General features: G+C 39.9%; 1 long non-coding RNA gene across 1 annotated transcript in view, besides 1 other annotated feature; it reads left to right on the top strand.

Moving 5' to 3' along the window:
- LOC105369812 (uncharacterized) overlaps window positions 1-12,731 on the top strand; it is an 86,311-nt gene that overhangs the window by 65,745 nt on the left and 7,835 nt on the right. The window lies entirely within an intron of this gene.
- Window positions 9,185-9,685: an enhancer, noted in NCBI's record as "H3K27ac hESC enhancer chr12:67863093-67863593 (GRCh37/hg19 assembly coordinates)". NCBI's record gives its function as "activates a minimal SCP1, AML or CMV promoter by ChIP-STARR-seq in naive H9 embryonic stem cells {active_cell/tissue: H9 hESC(naive)}" and the evidence as "EXISTENCE:reporter gene assay evidence [ECO:0000049][PMID:30033119]".

Below are 12,731 nucleotides of genomic sequence, written 5' to 3' on the forward strand. Positions count from 1 at the left end.
TTTTATATCACCCCCAATAAATATTTTCCTGTCTTTATTACTAAATTAGGGGCTTGTCCCGTTGTCTGGCCTTGAGGATTTTTCTACTAATATTTGTTGAAATTAAAAGAAAGCCAAGTCTTTTGAAGATTTAATACCATATTATGGCAACTCTTTCAAAGCTTTTGATGGAATATTGAAGACATATAATTATCATTATCAAAAATAACACCTCTAAATTGTACAATGTGAATTATATTTTGCCTGTAGGGAGCTTACAATCTATGCATTCAGCTGTAATACAAACACAGCTTAAGCCAAATAAATCAATAACCTGGTGCCTAACACTCAGAAGGATTAAATGCTGTCACTGAGACCTTGGATTTAGAAATAAAGGACGGAATTCTACCTATGCACACAGTCCATGCATATGAATGTCAACCGCAGAGTTTCCTAGACGATTATCAAGTGGAAGCAGTAAAAGTGTACTCCCTAAAAAGAAATATCATGGGCTGGGCGCGGTGGCTCATTCCTGTAATTCCAGCACTTTGAGAGGCCAAGACAGGCAGATCACTTGAGGTCAGGAGTTCGAGACAAGCCTGGTCAACATGGCAAAACCCTATCTCTACAAAAAATACAAAAATTAGCCAGGCATGCTGGTGTGTACCTGTAATCCCAGCTACTCGGGATGCTGAGGCTTGAGAATCACTTGAGCTCAGGAGGTGGGGGTTGCAGTGAGCAGAGATCACACCACTGTACTCCAACGTGGATGACAGAGTGAGACCCTGTCTCAAAATAAAAAGAAAAAAAGAAAAGAAAGAAAAAAGAAAAATAATGTTCATTCCCAATTTAGAGAAGTGGCATACTCCCTTTTTATTAAAATTCAAGTTTCAGGATATGAATTCTTTTTTGATAGTTGTGTCTTTTGCAGATAACGCTCTTCCCTTAAAGAACCAGGTTACAATAAGCGAGTATTTTTATTTTATCCTTTCTCATAGGAACAACGTGTTCAATCAACTACTTGCATAATTTAAGGCAAATTATTCTTCCAACAAGCCTACAACTACCTCCTCTGAGAGGGCAAGTGCTATACAGACCCATCTCTTGGAGATCTGATGAGCATTATATATTTATTTGCTTGTGACTTGAATAAGATGCATGACCTAAGCATGAATAAGCATACTGCAAACATATTTAAATAGATCAGTTTTTAGAACAGCATTTTCTAAGATTATCAAATTTATATTTGCTCCTCCCTAGTGCCTGGGATTATTGACTGGCTCTAAGGTCACCAGTAGGTACTTATTCTAGGGCTTCTGTTCAGTTTGACAAAACAATCTTGCATTCTTCTTTTTCCTACAAACATTCCATCACTTGTCCTAGAAATTATGTAAAAGAGAAACTCTAACTCAGAAACTGAAAAAGCAATTTAAAAAATTTTTAGAAAGGAGAAAAGAAATTTCTGAATGTAAGTGCTGGGGTCTAAAAGTCAGAGTGGATTTTCTCAGGCCTATTTATAATGGTTTAACCCAATCATGGGAATTTAAGACTGTGTACTTCTCGAAAGTGGCTAAAAAATGAAAGAAACACAAAATATTATTTTTCCCCCATGGCAGGCAATAAGGCAAGTTATTTAACATAAGAAACATACTTATTTTTTTCTCTGTATGAGATTAGCTAACCATCTCTCAACTCCGACAATGGCTTGTCAGTCTCTCTCTTATGTAAGAGTCCAGGAGCTGCCTTCTAGGATACCCACCAAATGGCTAGAGATGTATTGGTTGTATTCTTAAGTTTTACTTGATAATCTATTTTATGTTCATAAAGTTCTCTGAGTTATTTGCCTTTGCTTGTGGTAGCAGTGATGGCTCATCTCAAGGTTGCTGTCTTTTTTTTTTTTAAATAATAGAATGCCCAGAAAGAGGCTGAAAGAGAGTACCTAAGTAGCTATACCTATATAAAGGGACAGCTCCATCTGCTTTCTACCTGCTGTTACAAAGGCTTTCTGCCCCCTCCTATGTGTACAGGTCAGGATATGGTTGGTGCCAGAGACCAGAGGCACAGTAGATGAAGGCAGGCACAATTTTGGCACAAGGGGAGGCATTTTCACCACCTATCAAATTCTTTTCCTGTCTCGTTTTTGTCTCCCTCCACTTGTAAGAGCCCTAAAGGGAAGCTGAAGCTGTAGTCCATTATCCACCCAAAGGAAAGCAAGAGTCTAAAAAGAACTTGAAGGTCCAAAGGGGATTTTTCTGCAGAGGTAGCAGTAATTTTAATTAAGAGGGGAAAGCTTTGAAATGGGTCAGTTTATTAAGGACATCTATTGGCCATTTGCCTAGAAGTTCATTTTCCCTGCCCCACGTTATGGGGTGGCCCCTCCTCAGAGGCAGAGCTGGAACAGTGAGACACAGAGAGGAATCAGTGGCCTGAATGGCTGCTGTGATTATCAGAGCCAGGTGGCCAATGTTCCAAAGTTAGAGAGGTCATTGACTTGGCAGTTGTCTTCGCAAGTTTGTGATCTTAAAGGACTCCAAGACCTTGGACTTATTTTAAGGGAGCAGGTGCCAAACTGCTACCTTGAGAAATGGATGCATACACAGCAAGCACAGGAATGGGCACAGGTTGGCATAGCTTAGTGGGTTGAGATTACACAGAATAAACTGAGCCAAGTGATGGTAAATGAAAGATAACAAATGCAAAGTATGTGAAAATTTTAAACAAGTTATTGGTTGTTCTAGTTAGCCAGAGATGTTTCTCCAACCCAGCAGTATAATTCAGGCAAGATTATGCAAATACAAAGACCCCAGATATTAAAAAAATTATAGCAACATCAGCCAAACCAGATAGTACAGAAACAAATTAATGCAGGCTTAATGTGAGAAAATACTATAGGCAATACCTTTCTGGATGCAGGGCAGGTGTGTGGTTCAAGGAGCAACTGATAACCAAAGAACAACATACTACAAATGGCATCAATTCTTAAGTGACAGTAACACCGATGTTACACTTTTGTGATTTTGTGTGTGTTTTATGTATGTCTAATACATCTGTAGCTTAAAGATGACAGATACATGATCTGTGTCCCACTGCTGCTGCTTTCAGGGCCCTCTATAGGCATTTCTTATAGATTACACCACTTCCAAACTTGGAAATGGTCTCAGAACCATTCTCAACACAGGATTCAGAGTGATCAGTGTTGGCCTGGGAGGTGAAATCTATTTGTAGTCTCCCCAGTGCTTTTTTTTTTTTTTTTTTGTCTTCTCAACTTGTTTGTTTGCAATGTGTCAAGTAAGAAAGCTCTATTCAGCGTTGTTAAAATAGAAACCCTTGAACTGGGCATTGGGTCACTAGGTACTGGGACAAAGCTTGATAGCATCTCACCCTTTGATAAAATTATAGCTGATGACCAACTGTCCCACAAGTTCTGTCCCTATGTTGCTATGTTACCTGGGCTTACAAAAATGGCACATAAATAGGACAATCCTGCAGTCTTATCAAGAGAGAGTATTACCTTTGTGTGTGTGTGTGTGAGAGAGAGAGAGAGAGAGAGAGAGAGAAAGAGAGAGAGAGAGGGAGACCCTTACTATAGAGGATGATGAGACATGCAGAATTTTTGTTAACCCAATTGCAACTCTAATTCCTGCTCTCCTTTCCTTCTGCTATTAACGTTAAAACCAGAGCCCTTTTCTTTGAGGAATAGAATTGAATGCAGCGTGAGCCCAGATATGGCTCACTCTGGTTCCAAGATCCATGAGCTTATTTTGGGTACTCAGTGACAGCAGAAATGTACATAACTCCTTTCATCTAGGTACTTGTGTAGTTGTATAGCTGGGAAATGCCTGCCTCAAGTTATTCCTGTGGAGAGCGTGCCAAGAGAAGATATTCTTGCTTAAGCTTGTGGTTAAAATCTGTAATATGGCTATATTTCACAAGTTCTTACAATGGGGATTTTGCTTTTACCTTATCTCCCTTAACATATTCCATTTTTTTTCTGACCTCTCTCTTCTCTCCACCCCTTTTAAAAAAGTTAAAATTTTTTATTTTTACTTTTTGTGGGTACATGGTAGGTGTATATATTTAAATGTTTTGATACAGGCAATGAAATGTGAAATAAGCACATCATGGAGAATAGGGTATCCATCCCCTCAAGCATTTATCCTTTGAGTTACAAACAATCCAATTACACTCTTTATTTTAAAATATGTAATTATTGACTATAGTCACCCTGTTATGCTATCAAATAGGAGGCATATTCATTCTTTCCATTTTTTTGGTACCCATTAATCATCCCCACCTCCCCCACAACCCCCTACTACCCTTCCCAGCCTCTGGTAACCATCCTTCTACCCTCCATCTTCATGAGTTCAATTGTTTTGATTTTTATCCCACAAATAAGTGAGAACATGCAATGTTTGTCTTTCTGTGCCTGCCCCATTTCACTTAACATAATGATCTCCAGTTCCATCATGTTGTTGCAAATAACTGGATCTTTTTTGGCTGAATAGTACTCCATTGTGTATAAGTACCACATTTCTTTATCCACTCATCTGTTGATGGCCACTTAGGTTGCTTACAAATCTTAGCTATTGTAAACAGTGTTGCAACAAACATAGGAGTGTGATATCTCTTGGATATACTGATTTCCTTTCCTTTGGTATATACCCAGCAGTGGGATTGCTGAATCACATAGTAGTTCAATTTTTAGTTTTTAAAGGAATCTCCAAATCATTCTCCATAATGATTGTACTAATTTACACTCTCACCAACAGTGTACAAGAGTTCCCTTTTCTCCACATCCTCACCAGCATTTATTACTTCTTTTGTCTAAAAGCCATTTTAACCCAGGTGAGATGATATCTCACTGTAATTTTGATTTGCATTTCTCTGATGTTCAGTCATGCTGAGTGCCTTTCCATATACCTGTTTGCCATTTGTATGTCTTCTTTTGAGAAATGTCTATTCACAGATTTTGCCCATTTTTGAATCGAATTATTAGCTTTTTTCCTATAGAGTTGTTTGACCTCTTTATATATTCTAGTTATTATTTCCTTGTCAGATGGGCAGTTTGAAAATATTTTCTCCCATTCTGTGGGTTGTCTCTTCACTTGGTTGACTGTATCCGTTGCTGTGCAGAAGCTTTTTAACCTGATGTGATCTCATCTGTCCATTTTTGCTTTGGTTGCCGGTGCTTGTGGGATATTGCTCAAGACATTTTTGCCCAGACCAAAGTCCTGGAGATTTTCCCCAACGTTTTCCTGTAGTATTTTCATAGTTTGAGGTCTAGATTCAAGTCTTTAATCCGTTTTGATTTGATTTTTGTATACGGTAAGAGATAGGGGTCTAGCTTCATTCTTCTGCTATGGATATCCAGTTTTCCCAGCACCATTTATTGAAGAGACTGTCTTTTCCCCAGTGTATGTTCTTGGCATGTTTGTCATTATAGAGATCTTTCACATCTTTGATTAATTCCTAGGTGTTTAATTTGATATGTGGCTATTGTAAATGGGATTACTTAAAAAAATATTTTTCACCTTGATCACTGTTGGTATATAAAAATGCTACTGATTTTTGTATGTTGATTTTTTTGTCCTCCAACTTTGCTGAATATGTTTATCAGTTCTAATCATTTTCTTGCAGAGACTTTAGGTTTTTCCAAATAGAAGATCATATCATCTGCAAACCAGGATAAACTGATTTCTTTCTTCTCAATTTCGATGCCTTTTATATTTTCCTATTGTGTGATTGCTCTAGCTAGGCATGTTGTGCTTCCATTATCATTTGTTTCAAGAAATTTTTTAATTTTCTTCATAATTTCTTCATTGATCCACTGGTCATTCAGGAGCATATTGTTTAATTTTTATGTATTTGTAGAATTTCCAAAATTCCTCTTGTTATTAATTTCCAATTTTATTCCATCGTGGTCAGAGAAGATGCTTTATATTATTTCCATTTTTTTAAATGTTTTAAGACTTGTTTTGTGATGTAACATATGGTCTACCCTTTAGAATGATCCATGTGCTGAGGAAAAGCATGTGTATTCTGCAGCTCTTGGATGACATGTTCCGTAAATATCTATGAGGTCCATTTGGTCTGTAGTGCACATTAAGTAACATGGTTCTTTGTTGATTTTTTGTCTGGAAGCTGTGTCCAATGCTGGAAGTGAGGTATTAAAGTCTCCAGCTATTATTGTATTCTGGCCTATCTCTCTTTAGCTCTAATACTATTTTCTTTATATATCAGGGTGCTTCATTGTTGGGTGCATATATATTTAAAATTGTTTTATCCTCTTGCTGAATTGACCCCTTTATCATTATATAGTGACCTTCTTTGTGTCTTTTTATAGTTTTTGTCTTGAAATCTATTTTTTCTGATATGTGTATAGCAACTCCTGCTCTTTTTTGGTTTCCACTGGTGTGGAATATCATTTTCCATCCATTTATTTTCAGTCTGTGTGTATCATTATGGGTGAAGTGTGTTTCTTGTAGGCAACAGATCAGTGGGTCTTGATTTTTTCAGTCTGTCTTCTGATTGGAGAGTTTAGTCCATTTACACTCAATGTTACTATGATAAGTAAGGACTTACTCCTGCCATTTTGTTATTTGTTTTCTTGTTTTGTGGTCTTATCTTCCTTTTTTCTTTCCTTCCTGTCTTCCTTTAGTGAAAGTGCTTTTTCTGGTGATATGATTTAATTTCTTGCTTTTTAATTTTTGTGTGTCCATGGTGTGTTTTCTGACTTGGGGTTACCATGAGGCTTGCAAATACTATCTTATAACTCGTTATTTTAACCTGATAAGAATTTAACACTATTTGCATAAACAAGTGAAAAGAAAACTAATAAAAATTCTATGCCTTAACTCCATCCCCCCACTTTTTGTTGTTTCTATTTGTATCTAATTGTACTGACTCTGTCTTGACAAGTTTTGTAGTTATTATTTTTGATTGGCTCATCATTTAGTCTTTCTACTTAGGATAAGAGTAGTTTACATACCACAGTTACAGTGTTATAATATTCTGTGTTTTTTTGTGTACTTACTATTACTAGTGAGTTTTGTATCTTCAGGTGATTATTTATTGCTCATCAATGTCCTTTTCTTTCTGATTGATTTACTCCCTTTAGCATTTCTTGCAGAACAGATCTGGTATTGATGGAATGCCTCAGCTGTTGTCTGGGAAAGTCTATTTCTCCTTGATGTTTGAGGGATATTTTTGCCAGATATACTGTTACAGGGTAAAAGTTGTTTGTTTTTTTTTTCCTTCGTCACTTTAAATATGTCATGCTACTCTCTCCTGGCCTGTAAGATTTCCGCTGAAAAGTCTGCTGCCAGATGTATCAAAGCTCCATTGTAAGTTATTTGTTTCTATTCTCTTGCTGCTTTTAGGATCCTTTCTTTATCCTTAACCTTTGGGAGTTTGATTATTAAATGCCTTGAGGTAGTCTTCTTTGGGTGAAATCTGCTTGGTGTTCCATAACCCTCTTGTACTTGGATATTTATATTTTTCCCTAGGTTTGGGAAGTTCTCTATTATTATCTCTTTGAATAAACTTTCTACCCTTGTCTCTTTCTCTACCTCCTGTTTAAGGCCAACAACTCTTAAATTTGCCCTTCTGAGGCAATTTTCTAGATCCTGTAGGTGTGTTTCATTGTTTTTCATCCATTTTTTCTTTTGTCTCCTCTTTTTATTTTCAAATAGCCTGTCTTTAAGCTCACTAATTATTTATTCTGCTTGATCCATTTTGCTATTAAAGAACTCTGATGCATTCTTCAGTATGCCAATTGCATTTTTCAGCTCCAGAATTTCTGCGTGATTCTTTTTAATTATTTAAATCTCTTTGTTAAATTTATCTGATAGAATCCTGAATTCCTTCTCTGTGTTGAATTTCTTTGAGTTTCCTCAATATAGCGATCATTTTTATTTAAAAATTTTTAATTATATAGAAATGGAGGTCTCACTATGTTGCCCAGGCTGCCTTCAAACTCCTGGGCTCAAGTGATGCTAACACTTCAGCTTCCCAAAGTGCTGAGATTATAGGCGTGAGACCCCACACCTGGCCAGCACAGCTAATTTGAATTCTCTGTCTGAAACATCACTATCTCTGTTTCTCCAGGATTGATCCCTGATGCCTTATTTAGTTCATTTGGTGAGGTCATGTTTTCCTGGATGGTGTTTATGCTAGTAGATGTTCTTTGGTATCTAGGCATTGAAGAGTTAGGTATTTATAGTAGCCTTCACTGTCTGGGCTTATTTGTAAACAATCCTTCTTGGGAAGACTTTCCAGATATTTGAAAGGACTTGGGTGTTGTGATCTAAGCTGTATGTACTTTAGGTGACACCCCAAGCCCAGTAACACTGCAGTTCTTGCAGACTAGTAGAAGTACCACCTTGATGGTCTTGGACAAGATACGGGAGAATCCTCTGGATTACCAGGCAAAGACTCTTGTTCTCTTCCCTTACTTTCTCCCAAACAGAGTCTCTCTCTTTCTCTGTTCTGAGCCACCTAAAGCTGGGGGTGGAGTGACACAAGCACCCCTGTGGCCACAACCACTATGACCACACTGGGTCAGACCTGAAGGCAGCACAGCACTGGGTCTTGCCCAAGGCCTGCTGTGACCACACCTGGCTACTGCCTATGTGTACTCAAGGCCCTGGAAATCTATAATCAGGAGGCGGCAAAACCAGTCAGGCTTGTGTCCTTCCCTTTAGAGTGGTGAGGTCCCCCAAGCCCTGGGTGGGTCCAGAGGTACTGTCCAGGGGTCAGGGACTGGAGTCAAAAACTTTAGAAGTCTACCTGGTGATCTATTATGTTGCAGCTGAGCTGGCACTCAAACCACAAGATGTAGCCCTTCCTACTCTTCCCTTCCCTTTCCACAGGCAGAGGGGCCTCATCCCAGAGTCACCCCTACCCCAAACCACGAAGAGTACTGCCAGACTACTGCCCATGTTCCCTTAAGGCCCAAGGTCTCTTAAATCAGCTTGTGGTGAATGCTGCCTGGCCTGTGACTCACCCTTCAGGGCAGTGGGCTCCCCTCTGGCCCAGGGCAGGTCCAAAAATGCCAGCAAAGGGCCAAGTCCTGGAATCAGGGACCCTGAGGGCCTGCTTGGTGCTCTACCCCTCTGTGACCATGCTGTCTCAGAGCTAAGCCAGCATGTCTCAGAGACTCGTCCAAGGTCCTCGATGTAGTACTTGGGTATCACTACTGGTTGTTCAGGGTCCAAGGGCTCTTCAGTTAGCAGGTGACTGATGCTGCCAGGACTGAGTCTTTCCTTCAAGACAGCAGGTTCCCTTCTGACCCAGGATGTGTCTAGAAATGTTCTCCACGAGCGAGGGCCTGGAACAGGGGCCTCACAGCTCTGTCTGGTGCCCTATCCTGCTGTAGCTGAGCTGGTATCTAAGATGCAAGACAGTCTCCCCTACTCTTTCCTCTCTTCTCTTCAAGCAGAGGAAGGAGTCTCTTTTGGAGCCCCGAACTGAGTAGTATGGGATTAGGGGAGGGGTGATGCCACACTCCCTTGGCTGCCCCAGCTGATGTCTCAGTATGCACCCCGAGTCCACTGCCTCTGGGCCTAGTTCAGCATTAGGTCTCTCCTAAGAGTTGTAGACCTTACGGCCTAGACTGCCTTTCATGTTTACTTGGAGACACAGGGTGCTGTAGCCTTCTGTGGTGAGGTTTGCAGGCACTCAGTTCAGACTGCTGAGATCAGTGATTCCCCTCTAGCTAGGCCTGGTTAAAATGCTCCTTCCGTTGGCAGGCATTGGCTGAGTTTGGTCTGGTTTTCCTTTTTGCTCTAACAGAACAGCCCTGAGTTGAGTGCCTCACAATTGCTGTGTTCTCCCTCCCCCAGCTCCCAGAGACACTCTGCACCACCCTGCTGCAGCCAGGGGTGGGGGAGGGGTAGTGTCAGCAATTCAGGACTGTTTTTTCTATCTCTTCAGTGCTTCTTTCAGAGATATGAAGTTAAAACCAGATACTATGAGTGCTCACCTGATTTTTGGTTCTCATGAAGGGGTTTTTTCTCTGTAGATAGTTATTAACTCAGTGTCCTTGCGGGGGTGGGTTGGGGGGGCAATGATGGAAACTCTTACTCCATCATCTTGCTTTTCCTCCTTTCCCCCTCTCTAAACAGACCAGAATGTGGCTCTGAGCACTATCTTATTTTTTATTACATTAAATTAAGATGTGAAAGTTATGATTTATTACTTGGTAGGCCTCAATATGTTGTTTTTTCCCATTCTCATTAGTTAATAAAGATGCCAACCCTTAACTAAACTGATAGGAAATTTACCAAACTGCATAATAGTTAAACTTAGTTGCTTTGATTTGCTTTGTTTTTTAGCTTTCTTTTATCCCTTTGCATTTTTAATAAGGCATTTTTAATAATGCAAAGGAATAAAAGGAAGCTAGAAAAGGGCATTGAAATAATGAGCATTAAAATAATAATCCTCATATGAATTCAAGCAATGCATTCAAAGTGCAGTCCATGGCTTATTTATTGTCATGTCCTGGGCATCCGTCTAGTGAACCACACCTATGCACACTTTTAACAGTAACTGAGGTAGGCATTTAGTTCTTGAGCAAGAAAGAACACTTTAGCAAGTTTGGGAAGAAAGAAGCATTCTATTTCTACAAATGTATGCAACATTTGTTAACACAACAGCTATAACTACCATTTTAAAACATCTACTATGTGTCAGCACTATGCTAAGTGTAATATGGCTTATTTAAAATTCCTGCAACAGGCCGAGCACAGTGGCTCATGCTTGTAATCCCAGCACTTTGGGAGGCCGAGGTGGGTGGATCACCTGAGGTCAGGAGTTCAAGACCAGCCTGGCCAACATGGCAAAACCCCATCTCTATTAAAAATACAAAAATTAGCCAGGCGTGGTAGTGCGCACTTCTAGTCCCAGCTACCTGGGAGGCTAAGGCAGAAGCATCATTTGAACCTAGGAGGGCAGAGGTTGCAGTGAGCCGAAATTGCACCACTGCACTCCAGCCTGGGAGACAGAGTGAGAGTCTGTCTCAATAAATAAATAAATAAATAAATAAATAAATAAATAAATACATACATACATAAATAAATACATAAATAAATACATAAATAAAATAAAATTCCTACAACAGCCTTGTAGAAATAGGTATTATTTTCCTAATTCTATAAATAAGAAAATTAAGCCTCTAAGAAGTTAATTAACTTGTTTAGAAGTTCACACAGCTAGAAAATGGCTAAGAGTACACATTCTCAGAATCCACTTCTGATATCAGTGAGTAAACTTGGCTATTGATGAATAGATCTTATTAATGACTGTTATTTGATGTTAAGTCCATTTCAGCTTCCAAAGCACTATCACATATACTGTTTCTTCTCATTCAGTCTTTGTAACAATTCTGTGAGTAGGTCACTGCAATCCCACTCCACAGATGAAGAAACTGAGACCCCAAGTAATGCAACTATGAAAACAAGTCAATTCTGGAGACATGCGTGAAAGCACTCTGACTGAAGACCAATGTTATATTTCTGAAGGGAAAATTAATTGCGCTTCTTTCCAGAGAAGACTGACTCACCAGAAACGAGCATAATCAAAATAAGCATAATAATCTCCTCAACCTGTGGGCCCAGTGAGAAGGGAGGAGAGGTCCCCAGCACAGAGGAGAGCAAGGATTACTGCTTTTACCAACCTGAGTCAGTGCACACTACAGGCTGGTGTATGTGCACACATGTGTGTGCATGCACACTGGCAGCCTGCAGGTGCCCGAGGATTGCTGGGGTCTTCTGCATTCCCCTGGGGCAAGGAAAGGAAACTCTACCAGTGTGTTATAGCCGGGACCACAGTATGTGCCTGTTGCCTCAGATTGTGCTGGAGAGAGGCCCAGAGGGATCCTCCTCTTATGGGGCTGGCTTGACTCTTGCCAAGAACTGCCAGGCATTTAAGATACAGTCTTCACCTACACACATTTCCAGCAAACCCTTCAGATTGTAGCCCCCACAGCCTTCACACTTTCTCAACTCAAGCGTGGCATTGTGCCTGCCTTCAAACTCTGCATTGTAACAAAATTGAAGCCTCTTTTTGGATTATAGGGCCTGCAGGCTACAGCTACTTTAGAGAACTGACTGCTGGCCAAATTGAGAAATATTTGTTAAAAGGGGGCTTTTGCCAGGATATTTTCTCTGGAGACCGTTATCAATAAATCTGAAGAAAGAGGCCACACCTGAAAAGCCCATAGCATTAAGATGCCCATTGTACTCTTTCCTTTTGGGAATTACTGACTCTAGATAATCTCTTCAAATCTTTGGGTCATATTTGTTTCATTATTGAATATCACAAGAACTCACTGACGCAATAGGAAATATCCACAGATCTGCATTTATGTCAAGGGCTAAGAGGGGTCCACAGTAATGTAGCTTTGGGGTTGTGCTTAAAATAAAATAATAATCAAATTTTACTATTTCTTTCCTAGCATCTGTCCCTACCCAATTACTCTACTCAGTTATTTTTAGGAATTGGCTCCTGGCATTGATTCTTGAAGCCAGAGGTATTGTCTGTGCTGCCTCTTGGAATCATTTTTCCACTTGGCACACCCAGAGTTGGAGAGAGGAGTAGGCTGGATGGGTCTGTTGGAGTGTTATTGTTCATACAGTCTGTGTCAGCAAGGGCTGCAATCAGCTTGTTTGTCACATGTCTCTGAGCCTCACTCAGGCAGCCACGGGGATCATAGCCACTAATCCAGCTACACAGAGAAAGCTGGAGTCCAATGG

The sequence above is a fragment of the Homo sapiens genome, chromosome 12, assembly GCF_000001405.40.
Source record: "Homo sapiens chromosome 12, GRCh38.p14 Primary Assembly".
Lineage (NCBI taxonomy): Eukaryota > Metazoa > Chordata > Mammalia > Primates > Hominidae > Homo > Homo sapiens.